The sequence below is a fragment of the Homo sapiens genome, chromosome 11 (genome assembly GCF_000001405.40).
Source record: "Homo sapiens chromosome 11, GRCh38.p14 Primary Assembly".
Taxonomy (NCBI): domain Eukaryota; kingdom Metazoa; phylum Chordata; class Mammalia; order Primates; family Hominidae; genus Homo; species Homo sapiens.
The window spans coordinates 77,118,954-77,144,912 of NC_000011.10; the positions used below are offsets into that span (position 1 = coordinate 77,118,954).

The 25,959-nt window shown below is 54.2% G+C and overlaps 2 protein-coding genes across 30 annotated transcripts in view, besides 5 other annotated features; both read left to right on the forward strand.

The window, feature by feature from the left end:
* CAPN5 (calpain 5) overlaps positions 1–7,202 on the forward strand; it is a 59,185-nt gene extending 51,983 nt beyond the window's left edge. For 6 of the 7 annotated variants that reach the window (NM_001425322.1, XM_011545225.1, NM_001425321.1 and 3 more), the window contains 5 exons: positions 77–199; positions 1,760–1,956; positions 2,981–3,096; positions 3,623–3,759; positions 4,735–7,202. In NM_001425322.1, the coding sequence (NP_001412251.1) occupies positions 77–199; positions 1,760–1,956; positions 2,981–3,096; positions 3,623–3,759; positions 4,735–4,917 (756 nt within the window). In that variant the 3' untranslated portion in view covers positions 4,918–7,202. Of the gene's footprint in view, positions 1–45; positions 200–1,759; positions 1,957–2,980; positions 3,097–3,622; positions 3,760–4,734 lie in introns of all 7 variants that reach the window. The other variant, NR_189161.1, reaches the window with a different exon arrangement.
* Positions 7,979–8,701: an enhancer, noted in NCBI's record as "H3K27ac-H3K4me1 hESC enhancer chr11:76837978-76838700 (GRCh37/hg19 assembly coordinates)". NCBI's record gives its function as "activates a minimal SCP1, AML or CMV promoter by ChIP-STARR-seq in naive H9 embryonic stem cells {active_cell/tissue: H9 hESC(naive)}" and the evidence as "EXISTENCE:reporter gene assay evidence [ECO:0000049][PMID:30033119]".
* Positions 8,702–9,425: an enhancer, noted in NCBI's record as "H3K27ac-H3K4me1 hESC enhancer chr11:76838701-76839424 (GRCh37/hg19 assembly coordinates)". NCBI's record gives its function as "activates a minimal SCP1, AML or CMV promoter by ChIP-STARR-seq in naive H9 embryonic stem cells {active_cell/tissue: H9 hESC(naive)}" and the evidence as "EXISTENCE:reporter gene assay evidence [ECO:0000049][PMID:30033119]".
* MYO7A (myosin VIIA) overlaps positions 9,293–25,959 on the forward strand; it is an 86,996-nt gene continuing 70,329 nt past the window's right edge. For 16 of the 23 annotated variants that reach the window (XR_001747888.2, XR_001747889.2, XM_017017780.2 and 13 more), the window contains exons 1-2: positions 19,260–19,464; positions 23,756–23,869. Coding sequence is in view for 21 of the 23 variants with exons in the window: in XM_017017780.2 (XP_016873269.1) it covers positions 19,357–19,464; positions 23,756–23,869 (222 nt within the window). In the remaining 2 variants the exon portion in view is untranslated. Of the gene's footprint in view, positions 9,537–11,635; positions 11,700–19,259; positions 19,465–20,435; positions 20,528–23,755; positions 23,870–25,959 lie in introns of those variants that run through there. The other 7 variants (NM_000260.4, NM_001127180.2, XM_011545044.3 and 4 more) reach the window with 3 other exon arrangements.
* Positions 10,148–10,871: an enhancer, noted in NCBI's record as "H3K4me1 hESC enhancer chr11:76840147-76840870 (GRCh37/hg19 assembly coordinates)". NCBI's record gives its function as "activates a minimal SCP1, AML or CMV promoter by ChIP-STARR-seq in naive H9 embryonic stem cells {active_cell/tissue: H9 hESC(naive)}" and the evidence as "EXISTENCE:reporter gene assay evidence [ECO:0000049][PMID:30033119]".
* Positions 12,317–13,038: an enhancer, noted in NCBI's record as "H3K27ac-H3K4me1 hESC enhancer chr11:76842316-76843037 (GRCh37/hg19 assembly coordinates)". NCBI's record gives its function as "activates a minimal SCP1, AML or CMV promoter by ChIP-STARR-seq in primed H9 embryonic stem cells {active_cell/tissue: H9 hESC(primed)}" and the evidence as "EXISTENCE:reporter gene assay evidence [ECO:0000049][PMID:30033119]".
* Positions 21,057–21,623: an enhancer, noted in NCBI's record as "H3K27ac-H3K4me1 hESC enhancer chr11:76851056-76851622 (GRCh37/hg19 assembly coordinates)". NCBI's record gives its function as "activates a minimal SCP1, AML or CMV promoter by ChIP-STARR-seq in naive H9 embryonic stem cells {active_cell/tissue: H9 hESC(naive)}" and the evidence as "EXISTENCE:reporter gene assay evidence [ECO:0000049][PMID:30033119]".

The following is a 25,959-nucleotide window of genomic DNA, read 5'->3' on the forward strand; positions in this document are numbered from 1 at the left end:
CTTCCGGGAGCCAGCCAGCCCATGCCTGGTGTGGTCTCATTGCAGTGTCTCTCTCTCTCCTTGGCCACACCTGCAGTACATCTTCGAAGTCAAGAAGCCAGAAGATGAAGTCCTGATCTGCATCCAGCAGCGGCCAAAGCGGTCTACGCGCCGGGAGGGCAAGGGTGAGAACCTGGCCATTGGCTTTGACATCTACAAGGTGAGGCCAGCCGGGTCCCCTGCCGTGGGTGGGGAGAGGGAGGGAGCTGGAGTTTGGACTGCCCATGCCTGAGGAAGAACGCTCTAGAACACCTTGGTCACTGCCGCTGCCCTGGCTGCCGTGGCAGACATTGTGAGGATGCCGTGGCATGGGCCCCACTTGAATATTCACAGAGGGCCCAGCCTGCCCAGCCTTGGCTTCTGTGGGAGCTCTCAGCCTGATTTCTTTCTGCCTAAGACCCACAGGCCTGGGATGTTTGGTGGATGAGGAAGGGGAAGATTACTGGTGGTTGGGGCCGGGCCCTGGGAGGCTCTGGGCATCTACTGGGCCCCCACTGCTCCTCCCTCAGGCCTCAGGGCCCCTTGCAGCCCCTTAGCCTTCCTGCATTGGAGGCCTTGCTGGGCACCAGGAGGAGGCATCCTTGAGCATAGCCAGGTGGGGTCACCTATGGCCGCACCGCCTGGCCTGGAACCTGAGGCCTTCCACGTGTTGTGATGCCCAGTGTGTGGTGACAGTCAGCATGGCGGGACCCCATGTGCCTGTCAGACCTTGAGAACGGAATGAAGCCACCGGGCCCTGCAGAGGCTGGGTACATGCTGAGTCCTTGGCATCTGATGTGCCTGGCCACGCCGTGGCACTTTGTTTATACTCTTGTGCTGGTACATTCATTGCATGCTAGTGTCTTGTGACATATTGTTGTGACTTTGCCATGTGACGATCTTCACTAGTGTGACCAGAACACTTTTTTCAGGATTGTCAGGCAGGTCCTGGCAGCTGGTGATGGCATTTCGTGGACAGGTGCTGTGACCTCTGCAGATCCTGATACTTGGTTGTGCTGTTGGAGTCAGAAACCCCACTGACATTGTTACCAGGGGGATTCCTATTGCCCTCTATTTTTTTTGTTTGTTTGTTTTACAGAGGGTCTTGCTCTGTAACCCAGACCAGAGGGCAGTGGTGCTGTCATAGCTCATTACAGTCTCAAACTCCTGGACTCAAACGATCCTCCCACCTCAGTCTCCCTAGTAGTTGGGACTATAGGTGAACACCACCATGCCTGGCTAATTTTTAAGTTTTTTGTAGAGCTGGGGTCTCGCTTTGTTGCCCATGCTGACCTTGAACGTCCAGCTTCAAGTGTTCCTCCCACCTTGGCCTCCCAAAGCGCTGGGATTACAGGCATGAGCCACTGCGCCCAGCCTCCTTTAATAGTTTTTATTGAGATATAATTCACAGAGCATGCAATTCAGCCATGTAAAGTATACAATCTAATGACTTTTGTGTGATCAGAGTTTATGCAACCATCACCACAATCAACTGTAGAACATTTTCATCTCCCCAAAAGAAACCCACTCCCTTTAACCACCACCACCCATTCCCATTGACCTCTTCCCTTCAGCCCTGGGCAAACACGAATCCGCTTCTGTTATTATAGATTTGCCTGTTCCGGACATTTCATATAAAGGGATTCCATCGTCCCTTCCATGGTGGTGAGGGGGAGGCGGGGTGGGCCAGGGTGTTGTAGGGTGTGTCTCCGCGTGGCCCAGCCCCTCCCGCCTCCTGCAGGTGGAGGAGAACCGCCAGTACCGCATGCACAGCCTGCAGCACAAGGCCGCCAGCTCCATCTACATCAACTCACGCAGCGTCTTCCTGCGCACCGACCAGCCCGAGGGCCGCTATGTCATCATCCCCACAACCTTCGAGCCAGGCCACACTGGCGAGTTCCTGCTCCGAGTCTTCACTGATGTGCCCTCCAACTGCCGGTACTTGGGGGCTGGCTTGAGGCCAGTGTGGGTGGGAGTGACATTCACACTGGGCCAACCAGGAACCTGCAGCCTCAGAGATGCTCAGTGTCTCTGGGCCTCCAGCCACTCTGGGCTGATACCAGTGCCCATCTCCTTCCCTTCTCTTCCCTTGTTCCCCTGTCCCAGCATCCCTGGCCATGACTAGGAACAGCTTCTTGTATGTGCACTGCACTCTACAGTTGACAAAGAAGCTTTCACTCATCTTGATCTTCCTGCATCCCTGAGTGGGAGGCCTGACTCCCGCACTTTACCAGTGAGATTCAGGGGCCGAGGTTAGAAGGGTTGTCTGAGGTCATGCAGCCAGCGGTGGAGATGGGCTGGGCCACCCAGCCTGCCTGGTTCCAGGGTTGGGTCTTGTCACCACAATTTCCTGTCCCATGGGGGTGGCTCTGGGCTCCAGTGGACTGCTGAAGCTCTCTCAGTCCTTGCTGGGGCATAGACCCTGTGCGTCCCGCACTGCCCTCCACTGTGATACACAGCCCAGGCTCGGTGTCCCCTGAAGGACAGGTGAGCTCTGCCCACGTGCCAGAGCCAGGAGGCAGCTTGTGGCATGTGGAGTCAGACGGCTCAGGGTCCTGCCGGCCCAGGCTCCCCAGCTTTCCAGCTGTTTGGGCAAGCCCTTCACCTGGGTGAGCCTGCTGCTTCCTCAGCTGTGACATGGGCACCATAATAGCCTTTGCGGGGCTTTGCAGGGATTAGGAATCACCCATAACGCCAGCAGGGGGCTTGGCACACAGCAGGTGCTCAGTAAGGTGCCTTTCCCCTGGGGAAGGATGGGGTACCCTTGATAGGGATAGAGAAGGCAGGAAGCCCACAGGGCTTGGAGCTGGGGACTGCCCATGGGGATTTGCTCAGGACTAAATGAAATCAAGTTTGGGCTAAATACTGCTTCTCTTCCCTTCCCACTTCCTGAACCCCCTCTTCACCCCTGTCTTCCTGGCCCTTCTCCATCACTCCCCTCTCCCCTGCCGCCCCATATCAGGGAGCTGCGCCTGGATGAGCCCCCACACACCTGCTGGAGCTCCCTCTGTGGCTACCCCCAGCTGGTGACCCAGGTACATGTCCTGGGAGCTGCTGGCCTCAAGGACTCCCCAACAGGTGAGCTCTCCCAGGGAGAGTCCCCCGGCCCTCCTGCCAGTTGTCCCATGGCCTCTCTCCACCAGCACGGATACCAGCCTCAGAGCTCTCCTGCTCTCAGAGGCACTGCAGGCCTGGCCATTTCTGGGGTGATGCCTGATGCTGGGCACATAGAGAGGAAAAGGTTTACCTTCTGCTCTCAGGAGGCTTCCAGCTGGGAGGGAGGCCTCAGGAAAGGCTTCCTGGAGGGAGTGGCCTTTTTCTAGGCTGAGAAGGTATTAAGATACAAAGCCTGATGAAAGGGGGTAAGGGAGAAAGGTGCTCCGGGCAGAGGGAGCAGTGTGGGTAAAGCTCTGGAGGCTGGAGATGGCCAGTGTGCCCCTGCTGGCCGGCCTGTCTCTGGAAACGAAGGGGCCCTGAGGTGGGTCAGGCTCCAGTCTCTCCATCTGAATAACTGAGCCGGGTGGGCATCTCACCTGTAGATATCTGTGGCCCTGCCACAGCCCCCACCCCCACCCTCACCCCATCTCCCACTCCCTCTCCCTAGGGGCTAACTCTTATGTGATCATCAAGTGTGAGGGAGACAAAGTCCGCTCGGCTGTGCAGAAGGGCACCTCCACACCAGAGTACAATGTGAAAGGCATCTTCTACCGCAAGAAGCTGAGCCAGCCCATCACTGTACAGGTGAGCCCCCTGGTCCAGAGGCCACCTCCTGGGCTCCTAGCCTGAGGCTTCCCCACTCAGGGGGACAAGCCCAGGTGGAAGACCCTCTGACGAGGACCCAGGCATGCTGGGCTCTAGCTGTCTGTCTATCCCTGACCCCTGGTGTGGCTTTGGGAGCTCTCTTGCCACTCCAAGGTCCCTCTGTAGGTGGGTGAATTGGATTAGTTGGTGTGGTCCTGAGACCCAGCAGGGTCCATCTCCTGGCTGGGGACAGCAGTCATCTCTGCTGACCTCACCCTCAGCTTTGGGAACTATCCCTCCCATTTCCCCGTGGGGGGCCCACCTGGAAAGTGGCGTTGAGCCACTGTGTGGTGCGTGTGGCTGTTTCCCAAGAGCCTTGGGCAGGGGATAGAAAGCCAGTGTCCTCCCCATGGCTTCCTTCTCCTCTCAGGCTGATGTGGCCTGGGGATGATGATTCTGAACTCAATACTAGGGAGCTCTCTGGCCCCCAGGCCTTGATCAGCATCTCTCTCAGTGAGACAGCATCTGTAAACAAACATTTGGGTCCCCCTGGGGGAGCCACTGTGGCTTATCCAAGTTTTCTTAACACTGAGTCCCACTGGATCAAATCACAGACCTGTATGTCTCAGGGCTGGAAAGACCCCTAGGGGCAGCTGACTCAACCTTCATATTAAAGATGGGGAAACTAGGGCAGTGGGTGTACCGCTTGTCCAAGTTCACCCAAGATCAACAGCGGAGCTAATAACAGATTTCACTTTATGCATGGGAGGGAGCTTAGCTAGCTGAGGAGCCTGAGGCTCTGGAAGGGGCACCACCTTGCCCGTAGTTCATGGGGAGGCAGACAGCCCAGGGCCCCCGATCCTCAGCCAGGCTTGCACTTCAAGGCCCTGCCACCACCACCAGCACCCCCCATAGACCTATATTGCTGGTCTTGGAGGTAGCCCGCCCCTCCCATGATCCTCTGTCTCTTCCCAGGTCTGGAACCACCGAGTGCTGAAGGATGAATTTCTGGGCCAGGTGCACCTAAAGGCTGACCCGGACAACCTCCAGGCCCTGCATACCCTCCACCTCCGGGACCGAAATAGCCGGCAGCCCAGCAACCTGCCAGGCACTGTGGCCGTGCACATTCTCAGCAGCACCTCCCTCATGGCTGTCTGACACCTGCCCACCTACCTGGCTCTGACCGTTCCCACCACCATCTGCATGTCCCCACTGGGCCTGAGTCTAGCCTGGGAGCCAGGATACTGGGGTCCTTTTCCCACTCTTCCACTGACTTGCTGTGTGACCTTAGGAAGTCTCTGCCCCTCTCTCAGCCTCAGTGTCCCGAGGGCCCCGAAGCATTCCATTCTCGTGGAGGAGTTTCCTTGCTGAGATTTCAAATAGTCCTCCCCACCTCAACTGTCACCACTGCTAAGGGACTCTATCCATTGAGCACATTTTCCTAAGGCCCTGCTGTCTGCCGAGGAGCGCCAAGAAGATGTCACTTGTTTACACACGAACTGCCACATCCCCAAGCTCCGTTCTTGCCCCTCGTGTCCTAGGCCCAACCCAGCCTCCCAGACCTCACTTTCCCCATCAGCAATACCTGGTGTTCTCCCACCTTGAAAGGACTCTTGGCTCCTGCCGGGTTCCTGCTCAGGCTGGAATTGGGAAAATATGCAGGTGACATTTGTTCATTCTCTAATCCCATCCTCTCACCCATCCATTTCCTCACTCAGTGGAGATTTGCCAAATGAATAAACGACACCTTTGAGGCCCCAGGTGAAGCGGGGCCCTACTCCGGCCTCTGCCTTGGGCCTCGCCTCTGTCCTCAGGTCCTCTCAGAGGCAGATACCTAGGGGAGCTGCTGCTGCCTGCTCATTCTAGCTTCCGATTCCATTCCCAGCCCCTGCGTTAAGGTCCCTGGAGAGGTGGCGTCAGTGGGGGTGAGGAAGGGCATCTTCCTGACTCCTCTGCCCAGTGCTGGAAGGAGCATGCCTGGGTTAGTGGGCCAGGGGCCAGGCAGCTGGGGGCCTTTGGGGACCAGAAGGGGAGATGTGCTCCCAGAGCCTCTCTGCTGTAAGACCCCAGCTTTTCCTGGAAGATGGGACTCTGGGGTGTGTGGTGCTCACCAGAGTCAGGCCACCCACTGGGCTCGGCAGGAGATAGGGAGCCCCATCACCTGACCACAGCCCCCCACCAACATTCCCCCAAAATGCAGCCTAGGAGGCCGCAGTGCTCTTCTTCCTGCCCAGACCAAAATGTTCCTTTTAGTCCTCAATGTTTTATATTCTTTTTGTTTTGAAAATCTCAATTTTAATCAGGGGTTTTAAAAGAAAATTGAAAGCCTGAACCTCCATTTTTCTTCTTGGCTCCAGTTTTGCTGGTCCTCTGGAGAACTCTTCGTGAGCACTGGTGCCGTGACCCACTTGGGATCTCTGCTGTGCCCTTCTCGGGCTTCCAGACCAGGTGTAGCAAATGAAAAAGTGCAGTTAATTCAAGAACAGGAATCCCTGTGTCCTTGCTGGGATTTCCTTTTGGGAACCTGACTTTCCGACTCCAGATCCTGCTGTCTGGATCAGTGTTCTGGCTGGAGGTGCTGGATTCTCTGATTTTGCCTCCTCACTCTGTGTCTGGCTTTGCTCCTGGGTCTTGGCCCTGGGCCATATGAGGGGCCAGGAAATGAACGACAAGGAGGATAAGAGTGTTCTTTCTTGAAAGCCGGGACTTCCCCTCAAGAACCTGGGCCTGGGGCCGGGACTCTGCATGACTGGGAGCAAGTCACTTAAACCTCCTGTGCCTCGATTTCCCCCTTCTACAAAGTGGGGCCAATGATTCTTGTGTGTCAGCACTGTTACTACCGAGTGCTGAGTAAGGGCAAAATAATACCCCTTTCTCTATGTATCTCTGTATGCACACGCACTATATATATATATATATATATATATACATTCATGTAATCACCACTTCTCGATGTCTATTTCAAATCAAGGCTCCTGAGTAGGGGGTGAAGTGAGCCAGCTTGCACCTCAGGCTAACACATAGGACTTTGCTCAGCCATGTCCCCTGGGATACAGGGGCACACCAGGACCAAGTGGCAGACCTGTGGGCTTCAGCCTCGGGGCCGGGGCATGCCTGCCACCCCCTGACAAAAACAGGTTCCACAGTGCTACCCTTGCTTCCTGCCCCTTGAGGTGGGCCAGGCTGGCTCCTGGCTATGCAGGGATCTCTGGTCCCCAGGAGACCTTGGGGGCCAGGCAGGTAAGGATCAGGGGTGATAGGGGAGAGCAATTACTTTGTTCACTGTATGCACCCGCGGGGGCCTGGGAGTCCCCATTTGCAGGTGGGTAGGGCCTCCAGCCCACACCACCCAGACCTAGGCTTCCCTCTTCTCAGGATCCACCACAGGGTTAGGGGACAGGAAGCCTGTTCTATTCTCAATAAATCTTACAAAATTCCAAAAAGACTTTCCTGTGTCCCTCTGTCCCCCTGGGGGGAAGGGACAATGGAGGAATATTCCCCAGGCCTGGGCGACTGTCCGCTGGTCAGAGGGAAGGCCCCGCTGCCTGCCCGGTGCACCTGTGAGCTGAGATTGTGGGGATCATTCAGTCATTCCTTTATTCAGTAGATCTGTACGGGGCTGGCTTTGTGCCAAGGCCTGCCCCGGGCACCTGGGATGTGGGGAACCAGGCATAGCAATCCCTGCTCTGGGACAGTCTACAAACGAGCAGCGAGAACAAAGACATACTCTGGTCATGACAGACACTACCCCGCACATTACTGATGGGGCAGTGTGGGCCTGCTGGGTTAGAGACGGCCTACTCCCTGATCTGTGCATGAAGGGCTGGGAAGAGGAGATGGGCCTTCGGGGCACAGGAAGGTGTGGGGGGACCAGAGCGGAGGCTGCTGAGGGCAGATGCAGGCATCTAGGGCCAGGAAGCTGGTGTGGTGGTGGGGAGAAGCAGGGTTGGGATGACTGAAAGCAGAGTGGACGACTCAATGAAAAACGACTTGGGAGACGGGGTGAGTGCAGTGTGAGGGCAAAGTGAACCGAGATGCCTCGCTTTCTTCATGGGACTGAGAAATGGGTATTGCAAATCGTGTGATCTGCTTAGCATAGTGCCTGGTTCATAGCATGGCTGAACACAATGTAGCTGTCATCCTGGTGTTTGGAGGCCGCCCTGTCCCCCATAACCTGCCCACCTCTCTGCCCCATTCCCACAGCTCACTGCATTTTGTCCCTGCTGCCAGTCGTGTGCCATGGGCTCTCCTGTGCTCCCCCGGGGTCTCATTTCCCCATCCGTGTAGGGCTGACGCCACTGGCCCCGCCCAGCCTGGGAGGATGGAGAGGGGGGACTTGAGGAGTGGCCAGTACTGGGTTTCGGCAGCAGGTGCAAATCCCAGGTGGGGACTGTGTTCCAGGGACTCCTGGACTCCTGTTAGGCCAGCAGGCTAAGGGGCAGACGGCATCCTGGGGTCTTCCTGGGACAGGGTCGTCGGGTCTGAGGGGACCCAGGCCCTAGCAGAAGCTGACTCCTGTCACGGTCACTTCCCAGCGGTGCTCAGCCCGCCTGACGGAAGCAGCTGGGCAGTGGGGCCTGTGACCAGCAGGCGGCGCTGGCGAGCTATAGCGCCCCTTTGGGCCCCCACCCCACCTTCTGGGCAGCTTCCCTGCAGACACCCCAGTTATGGGGGCTAGGGACCCAAAAGAGACATCCTTCTGCCACCCAGAGCTGCCCTGGCGAGGTGCACTATGGGGCCGCCGACAGCTGCGTGGCTGCCGAGGGCGGAAAGGAGAAACTGTCATGTCCCGATAGGGCCGCGCGAGGTCTCCATCCTCGACAACGCTAATAACAAAGACGTGTGCTCCTCTTTGCTTGGTTCCCCCCACTCCTTTAAATCACAGATTTCACTTCAGTTTATCTGTGTCGCTGTCACACGTGGGGTGGCTCCCAGTCAGCTGGTTTGGCAAAGTTTCTGGATGATTACGGAATAACATGTGTCCCCAACCCGCAGAGCAGGTTGTGGGGGCAATGTTGCATTGACCAGCGTCAGAGAACACACATCAGAGGCAAGGGTGGGTGTGCAGGAGGGAGAAGGCGCAGAAGGCAGGGCTTTAGCTCAGCACTCTCCCTCCTGCCATGCTCTGCCTGACCGTTCCCTCTCTGAGTCCCAAACAGCCAGGTAGAGGAGGAAGAAATGGGGCTGAGACCCCAGCACATCAGTGATTAAGTCAGGATCAGGTGCGGTTTCCTGCTCAGGTGCTGAGACAGCAGGCGGTGTCCTGCAAACAACAGGAGGCACCTGAAGCTAGCCTGGGGGGCCCACGCCCAGGTGCGGTGCATTCAGCAGCACAGCCAGAGACAGACCCCAATGACCCCGCCTCCCTGTCGGCAGCCAGTGCTCTGCACAGAGCCCTGAGCAGCCTCTGGACATTAGTCCCAGCCCCAGCACGGCCCGTCCCCCACGCTGATGTCACCGCACCCAGACCTTGGAGGCCCCCTCCGGCTCCGCCTCCTGGGAGAAGGCTCTGGAGTGAGGAGGGGAGGGCAGCAGTGCTGGCTGGACAGCTGCTCTGGGCAGGAGAGAGAGGGAGAGACAAGAGACACACACAGAGAGACGGCGAGGAAGGGAAAGACCCAGAGGGACGCCTAGAACGAGACTTGGAGCCAGACAGAGGAAGAGGGGACGTGTGTTTGCAGACTGGCTGGGCCCGTGACCCAGCTTCCTGAGTCCTCCGTGCAGGTGGCAGCTGTACCAGGCTGGCAGGTCACTGAGAGTGGGCAGCTGGGCCCCAGGTAAGGATGGGCTGCCCACTGTCCTGGGCATTGGGAGGGGTTTGGATGTGGAGGAGTCATGGACTTGAGCTACCTCTAGAGCCTCTGCCCCACAGCCACTTGCTCCTGGGACTGGGCTTCCTGCCACCCTTGAGGGCTCAGCCACCACAGCCACTGAATGAAACTGTCCCGAGCCTGGGAAGATGGATGTGTGTCCCCTGGAGGAGGGAAGAGCCAAGGAGCATGTTGTCCATCGAATCTTCTCTGAGCTGGGGCTGGGGTTAGTGGCATCCTGGGGCCAGGGGAATAGACATGCTGTGGTGGCAGAGAGAAGAGTCCGTTCTCTCTGTCTCCTTTGCTTTCTCTCTGACACTCTTTATCTCCGTTTTTGGATAAGTCACTTCCTTCCTCTATGCCCCAAATATCCCATCTGTGAAATGGGAGTATGAAGCCCCAACAGCCAGGGTTGTAGTGGGGAAGAGGTAAAATCAGGTATAGACATAGAAATACAAATACAGTCTATGCCCCCTGTTGTCAGTTGGAAAAGAAATTAACTTGAAGGTGGTCTAGTTCTCATTTTTAGAAATGAAATGTCTGTCTGGTCATTTTAAAATGTGGCCCTTAAATTTCACGCCCTCACCACTCTCCCCCATCCCTTGGAGCCCCATGTCTCTAGTGAAAGCACTGGCTCTGCCCCCAGCCCTCATGGCTCATGCTGGCATAGGGCGCCTGCTCCACAGCCTGGGCACCATCTTCAGACAAGTGCCCGGTGGCAACTGCCTGCTGGCCCTGTTGAATCCACATCTCCACCAGGCATCCAGACTAGTTCAGGTCTCTGGAAGGACTGTGGGTTTGCTGTGTCCCAGAGCTCCAGGGCAGGGGTCAGGGCTCGGATGTCGGGCAGTGTCATGGGCAGAGGATCGAATGCCCCGGCGGCTCTGAATGGGCCCTTGTGAAAAATTGATGCGCATTCTAGGAGACAGGTTGGGAGCCAGAGGGGCCTCATACCAGGGTCTGTAGGCTGGGGCTGCCTTTTAAGCTCCTTCCTGAGGCCGTCTCTGGGTCTGGCCCTGTGCTGGACAAGGCTGGAGACAAGGCAATGTCTCAGACCCTCTCCCATTGGCCACATCCTGCCCTGGATCAACTCGCCAACTTTGGGGGCAGAGGTGGGACTGACCCTTACCCTGACAACATAATGCATATAGTCAAAATGGGATAAAGGGGAATATAGAGGCTCTTGGCAGCTTGGGAGTGGTCAGGGAAGGCTTCCTGGAGGAGGTATCATCTGAACTGAGCCATGAACCATAAGTGGAAATTCACTAGTCAAAATTTCAGGTAGAAGGGCCAGTGTGTGAAGGCCAGGAGATGGCAAGAGCTGGCGTATTTCAGGAACAGTGAGTCACTGAGGATGTCCAAGTATAAGGGTAGGAAAGGGAGTGAGCAGTGAGAGAAAAGACCGAGGCATCAGCAGGGGCCAGATTGTGCTGGGCCTAGCGGGGCGGGCCCGGGCCCGGGCCCAGGCCCAGGTGCGGTGCATTCAGCAGCACAGCCAGAGACAGACCCCAATGACCCTGCCTCCCCGTCAGCAGCCAGTGCTCTGCACAGAGCCATCCTGAGGGCAGTGGGTGCTCTTGAGAGGTTTCAGGCAGGGTGTGCTGTGAGCAGGTCATGCCCAGCCCTTGACCTTCTGCTCAGTCAGGCTTGTCCTTGTCACCCACATTCCTGGGGCAGTCCCTAAGCTGAGTGCCGGAGATTAAGTCCTAGTCCTAAATTTGCTCTGGCTAGCTGTGTGACCCTGGGCAAGTCTTGGTCCCTCTCTGGGCCCCTTTGCCGTAGGTCCCTGGTGGGGCCAGACTTGCTACTTTCTAGGAGCCCTTTGGGAATCTCTGAATGACAGTGGCTGAGAGAAGAATTCAGCTGCTCTGGGCAGTGGTGCTGGTGACAGTGGCTGAGGCTCAGGTCACACAGGCTGGGCAGTGGTCAGAGGGAGAGAAGCCAAGGAGGGTTCCCTTGAGGGAGGAGGAGCTGGGGCTTTGGGAGGAGCCCAGGTGACCCCAGCCAGGCTCAAGGCTTCCAGGGCTGGCCTGCCCAGAAGCATGACATGGTCTCTCTCCCTGCAGAACTGTGCCTGGCCCAGTGGGCAGCAGGAGCTCCTGACTTGGGACCATGGTGATTCTTCAGCAGGTCAGTGTTCCCACCTCTTTGGGTGGCCTGTCCTCCCCAGGCCATATCCCCTCATCCATATGCTTACCCGTGGGACACCCTCCCCAGGGTGTTCTCTTGGAAAATTCCTGCCTAGGCTTCCAAACCCAGCCCTCCAGGCTGAGGCCTAGTCTGAAACCTGTTCCCTCTGCTGTGCCAGCTGGGGTTTCCTTCTCTCACTGGCTCACCCCACTGGGCAGAAATGAGTTTATTTACACACATCTCTGGATCCCAGGCAGTGGAACAGCATGTGCAAAGGCCCAGGTGTGGGAAGGTCCCTGGGGAAGAGGAGAGGAGGTTGGCAAGGCTCCCAAAGCCAGGCCAGGAAGGGCCCTGAGCCCAACTTATTCTTAGGGCCTTGGGGAGCAGTGACTGGAGGGCGGGGGGTGACAAGGCTTGAGCTGGAGCCCCCTGGGATTTTATGGGAAGAAGCAGAGGTGCTGGCCCGAGCTGAGTCCTCCAGCCCCCCTTCCTACTGAGGGCCACAGTGGCCTCTGACCCTCAGCCCTTCCCCGTGATCAGTCTGAGGCTCTAATGAGCTCCTGGCCTCCAGAGCAGGAGCCAGGAATGTGGGCCCTGAGCCAGGTGGGCCTGGCAGCAGGCCGTAGGGCTTGTGGGGCTGTGCATTATGGGGGCTTGGCCAGCAGCTTCTCGGTCTCCAGGGTCACCAGAGGCCAATGGCTCAGCCTTGCCTGGCCACCCTGAGGCTGCACGGACCAGCATGTTTGCATATGAGTGCGTGCGCGTGTGTGTGTCTGTGTGTGTGAGTGAGAGGCAGGCTTCAGGGCAGCATCAGGACAGACATTCTTCTATCCCAGGGGCTGGAGGAGACCCCCTTTAGAGCCCCTTGGCCTGAGAGCCTGTTCAAACGCCCATTAGAGATGGGCAGGATCTAGGAGAGGAAAAGTCCATTCGCTGAGTGTTTGCTGTGTGCCAGGGCCTGGGCCCCCATAGCCCTCCAGGGGCGTCCTCCCTCAGGGGGCCTCTGAGGCAGGCCTCTGGCTGATGGGACCTCCTCACCACCCCCTCCTCTCCTGCCCCTCTGAACGCTGACCCACCTCCAGCTGTGGGTGGCCTCTGTTGGGAGCAAGTGTCTTGTAGGTGAATGCCTGTTCTGCCTGCCCTCAAGCAGGAAGTACACTCAGCTCCTTCCTTGGTCCTGAAGAAAGCCCCAGCCCTGGGGAACCGGCCAGCTCTGCAGTTGCACAGGCCGGGCCTAATGGGCTCCAGCCCAGGCTTTGCTATTGATGAGTGGGAGGGCCTTGGGCACGTTACTCAGCCTTCCTGAGCCTCAGTTTCCTCATATGTAAAATGAAGATTAAAAGCCTCTTTTCCCACAGCTGCCGATGAGAGGCTAAAATGCCATGTGGAGCTCCATGAAAATGCTTCTTCCTTCCTCTGCTTCCCTGGTCTGCCCTCTCCTCCTCTCTTCCTGCCACATCCTTCCCGGTCCTGAAAGGTCCACGGAGTGCTTGGCTTCCCCTCTTGCCTGGCTGACTTCTGCTCAGGCTTCAGTGTAGCCTCTACTTCCTTCGGGAGGCTTCCCTGCTCTGCAAACCCCAGGGCCTGGTCCACAGTCCTCCTCCTTTCTCTGCCTACCTGGGGCTTCCTGATGAGCCCTGGACATGAGGGACAGCCTTCATCCCATTTCCCGTGGATCTTTCAGGATAGGGAAGGAACTGGCAGGAAGAGAGGAGGAGAGAGGCAGTCCAGGGAAGCAGATGAAGGAAGAAGCATTTTCATGGAGTCCCAAATGGCATTTTAGCTTCACAATGGCAGCTGTGGGAAAACAGGGGTTTTGTTTGTTTGTTTGTTTGTTTGTGTGTGTGTTTGTTTTGAGACAGAGTCTTGCTTTGTCACCAGGCTGAAGTGCTATGGCATGATTTTGGCTCACTGCAACCTTCGACTCCCTGGTTCAAGCAATTCTCCTGCCTCAGCCTCCTGAGTAGCTGGGATTACAGGCACCCGTCACCACGTCCAACTAATTTTTGTATTTTTAATAAAGACGGGGTTTCACCATGTTGGCCAGGATGGTCTTGATCTCCTGACCTCGTGATCCGCCCACCTCGGCCTCCCAAAGTACTGGGATTACAGGCGTGAGCCACCGCACCAGGTGGATAGAGGTTTTTAATCTGCATTTTGCATATGATGAAACAGGCTCAGGAAGGCTGAGTAATGTGCCCAAGGCCCTCTTACTCAACAGCAAAGCACAAGATGGAGCCCACTGGGCCCGGCCTGTGGAACTGCAGAGCGGGTCGGCTCCCGGGGCTCGGGTTCTTTTTAGGACCAAGGAAGCAGCTGAAGCATACTTCCTGCTTGAAGGCAGGAGGAGCAGGCATTCACCTACTATTCCCTGCCCTGGAGGAGTTCCCAGACCTATGTGGGGAGACAGCTTAGAAACCTAGGAAAGGCACTGTGACAGTGAGTCTCCAGGGGGCACGGGGATGAGAGGGCACCTGGGAATGGGAGAGCCTTCTGCCCTCCCTGGGAGAGGGTGGACAGGGAAGGCCATGAGACAGCTGCAGCAGCCTCTCATGAACATACAGGGACTGAGGTCTCTGGAAGAAGGACTAGCCCAGCTGACTAGTGGCGCACCTGTGTGGCACACCTGACTCACATCTTTAAGGACCACAAGGAGGGCTTTTGTGCTTCAGTATGTCATGATTCCCAGCTTCATGGTGGTGCCAGGGTAGGGACTCTGTGTACTTGGCCCAGATTTGTGGGCAGAGGGAGGTTTGAAGATAAATTTGTGGGCTGTTGATAACAGTTGGATTGATGCTTTTAGTAAAATATAATGTCCTTCTTTGTTTCTTGTAATGATTTTGACTTAACATCTATGTCTGATAGTGTAGTCATCTCAACTGTCTTTTGGTTACTATTTGCATGGAATACTATTTGCATGAAATCCTTCTACTTTTAACCTATTTGTGTCTTTGGATCTAAAGTGGATCTCTTGTAAGCAGCATATAGTTAGATCATGTGGTTGGTTTTTGTTTTGTTTTGTTTTTATCCATTCTGCCAGTCTTTACCTTTTGGTTGGAGAGTTTAATCTATTTACACATGAAGTAATTACTGTTAAGGAAGGACCTCTGCCATTTTGCTATGTTTTCTGTATGTCTTATATCTTTTCCTCCTCAATTCCTCATTACTGCTCTTTTGTGTTTAATTGACATTTTTTTCTAAAGTACTGTTTTGATTCTCATTTACTCTTCTGTGTATTTTAAAAGTTTTTTCCTCAATGATTATTCTTAGGTTTACAAATAACATCTTTTTTTTGAGATGGAGTTTCACTCTTGTAGCCCATGCTGGAGTGCAATGACACAATCTCGGCCCACTGCAACCTCTGCCTCCTGGGTTCAAGCAATTCTCCTGCCTCAGCCTCCCAAGTAGCTGGGATTACAAGCGTGCACCACCATACCTGGCTAATTTTTTTTATTTTTAGTAGAGACAGGGTTTCACCATGCTGGTCAGGCTGGTCTCAAACTCCTGACCTAAAGTGATCTGCCTGCCTCAGCCTCCCAAACTGCTGGGATTACAGGTGTTAGCCACTGCATCTGGCCTACAAATAACATCTTAAATCTGCATCAATATAGTTTAAGGCCAAATTAGCTTCAATAATAAATAAAAATTATGTTCCTTTATAGTTCTATCTCTCCCCCTTTATGTTATTTATTGTCCAAATTGCATCTTTATACATTGTGTGCCAGTTAACATAGATTTATCATTATGTTATACATTTGTCTTTTAAATCACACAGAAAAGAAAGTAGTTACAGACCAAAAATACAACATTTTTTTTTTTAAAGAGATGGAGTCTTACTGTGTTGCCCAAGCTGGTGTGCAGATGCTATTCACAAGTGCAATTGTGGTATACTACAGCTTTGAACTCCTGGGCTCAAGCAGCCCTCCTGCCTCAGCCTCCTAAGTGGCTGGGAGTACAGGCGCCTATCACTGTGCCTGGTTAAATATGACTTTTCTATTTATCTATGTAAGTGCCCTTACCAGTGTTCTTTAATTTTTTTGTATGGCTTTGCATCACTGTCTACTGTACTCTATTTTTTTTTCCAATTTTGTATTTTTTAAAATACATATAACAACATATACCACTTAACTTTTTTTTTTTTTTTTTTTGAGACAGAGTCTCACTCTGTCACCCAGGCTGGAGTGCAGTGGTGTGATTTCAGCTCACTCTGCAACTTCTGCCTCCCAGGTTTAAGTGATTCTCCTGCCTCAGCCTCCTGAGTACCTGGGATTACAGGTCCCTGCCACCATGCCCAGCTAATTTCTGTATTTTTAGTAGAGATGGGGTTTCACCATGTTGGCCAGGCTGGTCTTGAACCCCTGACCTCAGGTGATCTGCCCGCCTCAGCCTCCCAAAGTGCTGGAGTTACAGGAGTGAGCCCCATGGCTGGCCCCATTTAACCACTTTAAGTACATAGTTCAGTGGCATTAAATACATTCACAATGTTGTGTGACCATCACCACTATCAATTTCTGCAATTCTTTTCATCTTGTAAAATAAAGATTCTATCCATTAAACAATAACTCCCCATTCCCCTCTCCCCACCACCCTTGGCAACCACCATTCTGCTTTCTGGTTTTGATTTGACTATTCTAGGTGCCTCACATAAGTGGAATCATACACTATTTGTCTTTTTGTGATGGCTTACTTCACTTAGCATAATATCCTCAAGGTTCATCCATGTTGTATTAATAGCATGTGTCAGAATTTCCTTCCGTCTTAAGGCTGAGTAACGTTTTATTGTATGTTTATACCACATATTGTTTATTCATTCATCTATTGAGGAACACTTGGGTTGCTTCCATGTTTTAGCTATTATAATTAATACTGCTTTGAACATAGGTGTGCAAAGACCTCTTTGAGATTCTGCTTTTAATTCTTTTGAGTATATATCCAGAAGTAGAATTGCTGGGTCATATGGTAATTCTCATTTTAATTTTTTTAGGAACTGCCATAGTGTTTTTCACAACATTTGTATTATTTCACATTCCCACCAGCAGTGCATAAGGGTTCCATTTTCTCCACATCTTTACCAATACTTATTTTCTGTTTTGTTTTGTTTTGTTTTGTTTTGTAATAGCCATCCTAATGGGTGTGCAGTGGTATCTCATTGTGGTTTTGATTTGCATTATCCTAATGATGAATGATGTTGAGCATCTTTTCATGTGCCTTTGGTCGCTTTGTATATCTTTTTTGGAGAAATGTCTATTTCAGTCCTATGCCTATGTTTGTTTGTTTGTTTTGGAGACACAGTCTCACTCTGTCACCCAGGCTGGTGTACAGTAGTGCCATCAAACTCCTGCCTATGCCCACTTTTGAAATGGGTTGTTTGTTTTGTTGTTGTTCAATGTCTTTTAATCTTTAGCATTTCTTATAGGGCAGGTCAACTAGTGACAAACTCTCTCAGCTTTTGTTTACGTGGGAATGTCTTCATTTCTCCTTCCTTTGTGAGGGATAGTTATGCCAGATATAGAATTCTTTCTTGACAGTTTTTTTATTCTTTCATCATTTTAAATATGCCATCCTACTGCCCTCTGGCCGCCGTGGTTTCTGATGAGAAATCAGCCGAGACTCATACTAACGATTCGTTGTATAGAATGAGTCACCTCTCTGTTGCTGCTTTCAAGAGTCTCTGTCTTTGCCACTTGTGGAGAAGAGGCCTATTCCTCCAGCTCAAGGGTGGTCTCAGTAGTCGTTCTGGAACCAGGCAAGGTCAGGTTCTTAGCACCTTGCAGGGTCTCCCCCAGGGGACCTCTCTTTAGCCACCAGCCGCCAGACTTACTTTACAATCTCTTCCCTCTCTCCTCTGATTCTCTGAGTTTGCTGTTCCCTCTTCCTGGGATGCCCTTTCCCCTAATGTCTGCCTAAAAAAAAAATCTTAAAACCCAGCTGTCACCCCTAACACGACTCCCTTAGTTAACCATGGCTGGCACTCATATACATTTGGTCTAACAGGCACCAATCTAGGTGCATTACGCATCTTAACCTGTTAAATCCTCACGAGCACGTGGAAGCAGTGTCATTTTGTCACCTGACGGATGAGGAAAGAAAGGAACATAGAGGTTGAGGAACTTGCCCAAGGTAACACAGCTTGTGAGTGGCTGAGCTGGGATTGAAACTAAGCCATCTGACTCCAGGGTCCAAACTCTTAGTGGCCATGCTATCCTATGTCTCCGGGACTGATCTGCCTCTTATCTGGTGGTACCATCCTTATCTGTGCCTGGGTCTGTCCACCACACCAGGCTGGGAGCTCTGAGGACATGTCTTGTTAACAGTGTCCTCTGTACTTTAGTCTGAACCTGTACTCAGTGAAGGTCGGTTATATGAACTCGTGGTAGAATGCCTGGAAGCTCACCACCAGCACTTCCTTGTGTCTGAGGTCTGGGTCCTGTCCCAATGTACTGCTATAGATGGGCGGGGAGAGATAGGTGTGCCTGTTTTCGGCTTGACTGGGGGAAGGACCTCTCCTGAGAGCGGTGTCCCTGAGAGGTCACAGGAAGTGAGTGGGAATCACTGATCAGTCAGCTTCGTGCTGGACAGCAGAGCCCTGGGTTCCCAAGGCTGGGACAGGGAGTGGGGTAGAACTGGGCCCATCCTGGGTGGCTCTGAGCCCTGTGTGAGGCATCACCGTCTTTTTCGTTGCCATTCCCCCCACCCAGTCCCCCGCCCCCACTCTCTGCCGTTGTTCATTCGTTGGGGAGCAGTTGGCTTCCAGGATACTAGGCAATGCAGAGAGCCACAAATGCAGACTGGAGGCCTTGAAAAGAGAAGAGGAAGAAAAAGGAGGAAAGAGGGGAGGAGGACAAAGATAGGCAGGGCAAGGCGAGAAGGAGGGAATGGGAGAGGAGTCACAGGGCCTGGGCCTTCCGGACCCTCGGGATGGGACGGTGGCCTCTGGCTCACAGCCCAGCGTGGACCGACGCCTGGTGTCCAGCCCTGTGTGGCTGCTAGGACACAGGAGGCCAGCTTGGCCCATTGCAGGGAGAGCTCTGAGCCATCGAGGTGGTTCAGCTGTCCTGGGGAGTTCAGGGGACCCCACACCAGGCCTCCAAGGCCTCTTCTGCAGGATGGACGTGGGCTGCTATTTGACCTCGGGGGCTGCGGGAGGAGGACATAGCCTCTTCAGGGGCTTTCCCCCAAACTTACCCCAGAAGGAAACTGTATCTGCCCTCACTCCCCAGAGGCAGCCAGGGAGCCAGAAATATCTTCAATGCATCTCTCCTTTAGTCTTAAAAACCCCGGGAGTTTACCGCGTTCTAGTCCATAACATCCTCGTGTTTCCTTCCATGGAAAACATAGAAAAAAACATGACGATTTTTTCCAAAACTGCCGTCAGGTGCGGTGCCAGGTGCCACGTTTATCCCGGGCCTACCGCCGCGGTGCCAGTGAAGCCGCCTGGGATTCCGGGCAAAGTGGGGCTGTGGGGGGTTCGGCCGAGACGGAGGGGGCCGGGGTGGCGCGGGCGCCCCCTCGCCGTCCCGCCCGCGGGCGTCACCTAAGCCGCCGTTGCCATGGGCCCGCAGCAGATGGCCCGGTTTAGGGTTCCGGGGCGGGCGGCGCGCACGGGATTAGGTGAATTAGGGAGCCGGAGCAGTGCCGCCGTCGCCGTCGCAGCGCCATGGAGGACCCCGCCGACCCTGCCGACCCCGCGCGCATCCCGCAGCCCGGCAAGTGGGCGCTGGTGCGCAGCCTGAACCAGGCGTTCAAGACCTACGCCGTCCTGCCGGTGAGGCCCGGGCCAGGAGGGGAGAAGGGAGGGGGAGGGCGCCTCGCCCCGGGCCTCAGTTTCCCCGCCTGTTAGAAGCTGGGCGGGCCACAAACAGGGTCGCTAGGCTTCAGGGTGTGCATGGACTGCGGCCCTAGGATGCCACCTGCGGTCTCTGACCTCCCCCAGTGTGAACTTGGCCGCGGCTGCCCTTTCCTAGGAGGAGAGGTTTTGCATCTGGGAAACCCAAGCCAGGCAGGCCAGGTCTGGGCGGGGGTGTCCTGCATTTGCTGAGATCCAGAGCAGGGAGCACCTCCAGGTGCACAGAGGGACCCCCAGCCATAGTTTATGGACTGGCTGACCGCTGATGGAAGAGAAAGCTAGGCCCACTGGTCTCCTCTCCAAACTATGTTTAGCAACTAGACACTAGCAAGATGCTTGGCTCACGTTTCCCATCTGTGAAAATGGGGTGATAAAACCGGTGTCCCAGAGTGATCATGAAGATAACGAGCGGCAAAATGTCCTGAAACAGATTCCTTTTCACTCCACAAACAGGGACTGGCCCCAGGCCTGGTCCCAGAGGAAGGAAGAGGCAGAAAGGGCTAAGGCCCTGTGGGGAATTATTAATATTGGCTCGAGACCGGCTTGATGCCTGGGAGGAAGGAGGGTAGACAGAAAGAACAATGTGCATTTGCATGGGTCTCTCATCTTTACATGCACTGACTCCTTCCATTTCATGGCTGGTGGAAACTGAGGCCCAGAAAGATTGAGTGCCTCACCCAGAGAGACACAGCGTTAGTGGTGGAGCTGGGACTATAAGCCAGATCTCCTATGTGTTCACTGTGGATATGTGCTGGCTTTCCTGGGGGGAGGCCCCACAGGGGTTTTGGAGTACCCCTGAGAACATTCGAACAGACCCATTCTAGGAAGGCACGACTCGGGCTGGGAGCCTGCATAGCTGGCAGGGCCTGGGAAACCCTCTGCCCTGGTCATATATTTGATAGGAGAAAAGCTGGGACTTGCCCCACGTTACACAGCCACACTGAGGCATGTGTCGTGTCACAAACGAGATCTTCCATTCAAGGTGAGTACCAAGCAAGGCGCCCCATACAGTGTGTAAAGTTGTCACGGAACATGGTGTAGGAATGGGGCCAGATGCAGTGGTGGGGTGCCTGGGGCTAGCCATGGGGATGGGAGGGGGTGGTGGGGTCCTACCTGGAGCCTGGTTCCCCATTCTCACCTCCCTCCTGCCTCTCAATGAAGCTTCATCTTCTTTCATGGCTTCCTTCCTCCCTTCCTTCTCCCTCTGAGCCAGTGACTCCTGATCCACCCTGATTTTGGTCCTGGCTCTGTCCTCCAGATGCTAATAGTCCTGTCAGTCACTGATTTGATGAGTGACTGTGGCCAGGTTCCTTTCTCTCTTTGGCCCTCAGTTTCCTCGGCTGTAAAATGAGGATCCTTACAACCTGCCTGCCTTGCGATGCTTCAAGAACTTTCCCTAGGGCCACAGGAATATTCCCCTTCAGAAGTCCTAAGACCCCAGAATTCTCCCTGAAGCCTCTCCCCTGCCATCTGAAACTGTTTCCTCAAGTCTGGCCTAGAGCAAGATAGTTTGGTCACTGCCCTCTGTGACAGCCCTAAGTAAGAAGAGTTGTAGTCATGTCTGTTTGCTGTGTGGCCCCAAGAGCTTCACTCAGCCTCTCGGAATCTCCATTTCCTGCTCACATGAAGTTTTTTTTATTTTGGTTATTTTATCTTCTCCCAGGGGAAACAAACATTTTCTGTGTGCCAGGCCCTGTGCTGGGTTGAGGGATACAGGTGACTCAGAGAGACCCCTGCCTTCCAGCTGCCCTCAGCCTAAGTCTCCAGCTTGCCTTCAGGGCCCTTGAGCCATCTGGGCGGGGGAGGACTCTATCAGTGTTTCCTGTTTTGCTCAGTGAGCTGCATGTGGGACTGGGCCCAGGGAATGTCAGGAAAGAGCCCTGGATTTGGGGTTTGTCAGACCTGGGCTTCAGTCCTGGCTCTGCCACAAAACAGCTGTGTGACCTTGGGCACGTTTCTTGACCTCTTTGAGGAGAGAAATTGGAGACAGTCCCCTGGCCACATGCTGTTGCCCACAAGCGAACACGCTCCCCACCCCTTCTCTCTCACCGAGGCCCGCTCTGGGCTGGGCTCTGGGGAGCCACAGATGAGGGACTCAGACCCAGCCCCACCCTAGGGAGCTCCAGGCCAGTGGGGAAGGGGAGCAGACCCTGTGTGGGGTGGCTGTCAGGGGTAAGCCCAGGGTCAGGGAGTGCAGCTGGGGCTTGGACACAAGCAGCTGTGAGGATTATATGGGGCAGTTTACGGGATGCAGCCTGTGGAGCCCAGGCCCACAGTGAATGCTCAGTAAACAGTTCTCTTCCACGCCCAAGCCTCTCCAATTTTTCTTACTTTTTCTGGGAGGAAGTTTGGGTTTGGGACTAGCCTGACTCTATCATGTGCCAACCTCCCATTCACATGAAGAGAGGGTCCACAGGGGCAGCTGTGGCTGGAAAATAGCACATAGATGGCAGTGGTCCCATAAGACTATAATGCCATATTTTACTGTACCTTTTATGTGTATGTTTAGATATGTTTACATACACAAATACACACTATGGATTATGACTGCCTATAGTATTCAGTACAGTAGCAGGTTGTACAGGTTTGTAGTGTAGGAGCAAGAGGCTACCCCATCCAGCCTAGGTGTGTAGTGGGCTGTACCATCTAGGTTTGTGAAGTACACTCGATGACTTCATATGTTTGCATAGAACTTATCTCTGACATTAACAATGCATGACTGTAGCTGGTTCTGATGGGAACAAGAGGAGGCTGAAACAGTAATGAGTTGGTCTTGGACTCACTGAGTTCAGCCTTCACTGAGAAATGTGGAAATTGAGGCTCAGAGAGGTCAGCGACTCACCCAAGGCCGGGTAGGGCCTGAAACCCAGTCTTCTGACTCCTAGCCCAGAACAGATTCTGTCAGACCATTACCACGGTTTACTTCATTGTGAATCAGTTTTATAAGTTGTTACATTTTTTTTTACTTGATATTAAGTTATATTCTTATTAGAATGTCCCAACTCCTAGGGAGTTGGAGTACCACCCAAAAAAGAATACTTTTATTAGGATTAGAATAAAATCTAAGCTTGTATCCCAAGGCCAGCAAAGGGCCTATGTGTCCTGGACCCTGCCTACTTCTCTGAGCTCCCTCTCGCCCATCAGGTCCTACCTCCTGGCTGTTCCTTTCTGCCGCAGGGCCTTTGCATGTGCTGTTTCCTATGCTGGGATTACTGTCCCCTGCTTTTCCCTTGGCTGACTGCTTGTCACCCTTCAGGTGTCAGCTCAGCGATTCCCTCCATGGAGCGGCTCCATTGGCTACTGGGTCTAGGTTGGTTGGCTCTGTCATTCTCCACCATTGGCTTGTTTGTTTCCTTGACAGCACTCACCAGTATCCAAAGTGATCGTGCTGATCTATTTGCTCAGTTTTTTGTCACCACCTCTAACTAGAACGTAGACTCCATAATCACTGCTCAACCCCCAGCATTTAGATTAATCAGTGCTTTGCACTCAGTAGGTAATCAATACATGTTTGTTGAATCCATCAGTGCTGAATGTGGTTGTTCTTAGTCCATTTCTCTGACTTGGGATTTTACGTTTGGCTCTCACGATCCCTTGCTGAATGAGTAGTGCGAGTCAGGCCCTGGGCCAGATGCCGCAGGGGACACAAAGCGACATCCTCCCCCAGGATCAGGGCTCTCTCCACATGCCAGAAGACAATGTGGCTGAACCCTTCTCTAGTGCCCAGCACGGAGTGGTGTCCCTGTGAGGAACCTGTCATAATGATGATAAAAATCAGCCCTGGAGGTGAAGGAGGCTGCAGCATTCACCCACTGTCTGGGTGTCCTGTGGTGTCATGTTAGAGAGGAAGTGGTTTGAGTGGTCTGGTGTTTCTGTCTAGACCCCAGTGAATCTGTCATACACATGTAGGGTGTAGATCCATGGGGAGAGCTGGGCTTTGAGAGGCCTTGGCTCTCTCTGAGCCTCTGCTAAGTCATCCATAAAATGGGAATATGGCTGTTCTAGAGGGGGGATTGATGAGATTGCATAAATGCCCAGCCCAGGGCCTGCACTGCTCCAGAAGGTTGCTAGTAAGTGTGAGTCCCCTTCTCTTCCCCCTTGTGTGGTTGGCTCAGAGCCTCTGATTGTAGCAGAGGGATATAGGGCTGCCTGGAAGGGGCTCCAATCCCCCTCCCTGCTCACCTGGGCTGAGACTCTCTCTCGCCCATAGGGGGACCATGTGTGGATGGACCTGAGATTGGGGCAGGAGTTCGACGTGCCCATCGGGGCGGTGGTGAAGCTCTGCGACTCTGGGCAGGTCCAGGTGGTGGATGATGAAGACAATGTGAGTAGTCCCCTCCCTCCTCCTGCCCCATGCCTTGGGGTCAGACCTGGGCTGACAGCTGCCTTGATGCAGGGAGATGATCGAAAGGAGATGGAGGCCATGCCCATGCCCCCACTTCTGCCTCTCAGATGCCCCCTTCCATGAGCTTTCCCCAGCACCCCAACAAGAGGGAACCCCTGCCTGCCTCAGGCTACTTGTTCTGTTTCCACAAGCACTTCAGTCCACTCTGCATGGTGTTAGAGATGTGTGTGTGTGTGGTGGGGTTTGAGTGCAGGGGGAGCAGGCTAGGAGCTCCTCAGACACAGAGGTGCTTTGGGGGCAGACTGCATTCAAATCCTATCTCGTCCATTTGTTAGCTGCGCAAACTTGGCCTAGTCTCCTTCCCTCCTGACCCTCAGTTTCCTCTTTGTAAAATGAGGATAATAATACGTATCTCACAGGGCTGTTGACCCATACATGAGATCACACGTGCAGAACACCTCAGTGAAGTTAGTGCTAGTCTGAAAGTTAAATGAACGTCCACAGCCTCACTGTGTTGGGTTACTGACATCACATGAATCCACTGTCCACCTTGACACTGCTCTGGAAATTGGTCTCACAGATTAACCCTTTATCTGTGGCCCAGAAGGAAAGGGACCCCAGAAGTGTAAGTTTTCTAGGTAATGATAGTGGGGCCTTGGGGAGGGAAGGAGAGGTCTGAAGTCAGGGGCCTGCCCCGGAGAAGGTGGCTGGTTCACGTGAGGGCCCGGAGGGGAAGCCCTGGGGCCTCTGAGCATGCGTGCACATGTGTGTGTCACTGGGGGTATGCAGATGGGGTGCAGAGCACACAGGGGCAGCTTAGCAGGGATATGAAGAATCCAGGGAGATTCAGCTCTGCCATAATGTGGGCTGTGCCCTGCGGTGTGCCAGGGGCTGGGACACAGAATTGGACTGAGTCCCTCTTAGCCTCCTGGTCTGAGGGAGGAGAGTCAGGAGAAAGAGGGTGCAGGGACTTGAAACTGAGGCTCTGCTGGGGACGACGGGAGGGCTCAGGACCCTCGAGGCCAGGTGCTTGACAAGGAGTGGGCAGGAGCATCCCAGATATTCCTGCAGCCCTCAGGTGCATCCCCTCAGAGTTTGCAAGACCCTTTAACCCAAGTTCTGTCTTTGGACTCTCATGGCATCTGTGGAAGGCAGGGAGGGAAAGAATTGTCATCCCATGAGGAAACTGAGGCACATAGAGGGACCACACAGCCAGTCACACAGCTAGTAAGTGATGGTGCTGGGATTAGAACCCAGGACCTCTGTCTTCTATGCATGAGTTTCCCCTGTCAGCATTATCTCAGCGGCGACTTTGGAGCTCAGATTCTGCTAATCACATTTTTGGCCCTTGGGCCGTAGAACCCAAGGCCTGCAATATCATTCCAGAGGCTCCAGTTCTAGGACCCTCTAGGAACCTACTATGAGGGTGCAGCCACAGAAGGGGAGGCACAGGCTGGGTGGCAGCATAGACGGGCCTGCTAACCTGCCCAGAGCCCCCAGGGTGGGGACCAGGGACTCTGTCTGCAGGCTTGAGTTTCACCTGGGTCATGTTGCATGTCAGATGGTGTCCCGTAACTGCGTCACCGAATCCCAAAGGTCCCCTCCCGCTTCTCCTCCACCCAGGCCCTGAGAGTGGGGGCTGCAGGAGGGGTGGGCATGACTGGCTGGCAGGGGCAGTTCGGGAGGCTGGGGTTTGCATCTGTGGCATTGGACCCCCAGGGCTTCCAGACCGCTCCTTCACAAGCCTTTCCCACCCCCATTCCATCCCCTCCCTCCCAACTCCAGGCTGTCATCTCTTACCCCTCTGTCTGCCCACAGACTCCTAGCAACTTGAGAGCAGGGAACAGGCCAGTCCCATCTGGTTCCCCAGAGTTCATCAAGGGGTCTGCCCAGGGAAGGCTCTTGGCAAAGACTCGCTGAGTGATGAATGAAAGGTTATGGTTTCAGTCCCCACTGGAATCCCAGTGTCTTGCCTTTGTCCAAGCCATTTCTGTTGCCAGATACACCCCTCCTTCCCTTCCTCTAGGGAGCAAGCTGTCCCTGCTCAGTCCAGGCCAGCTCTTTCCCAA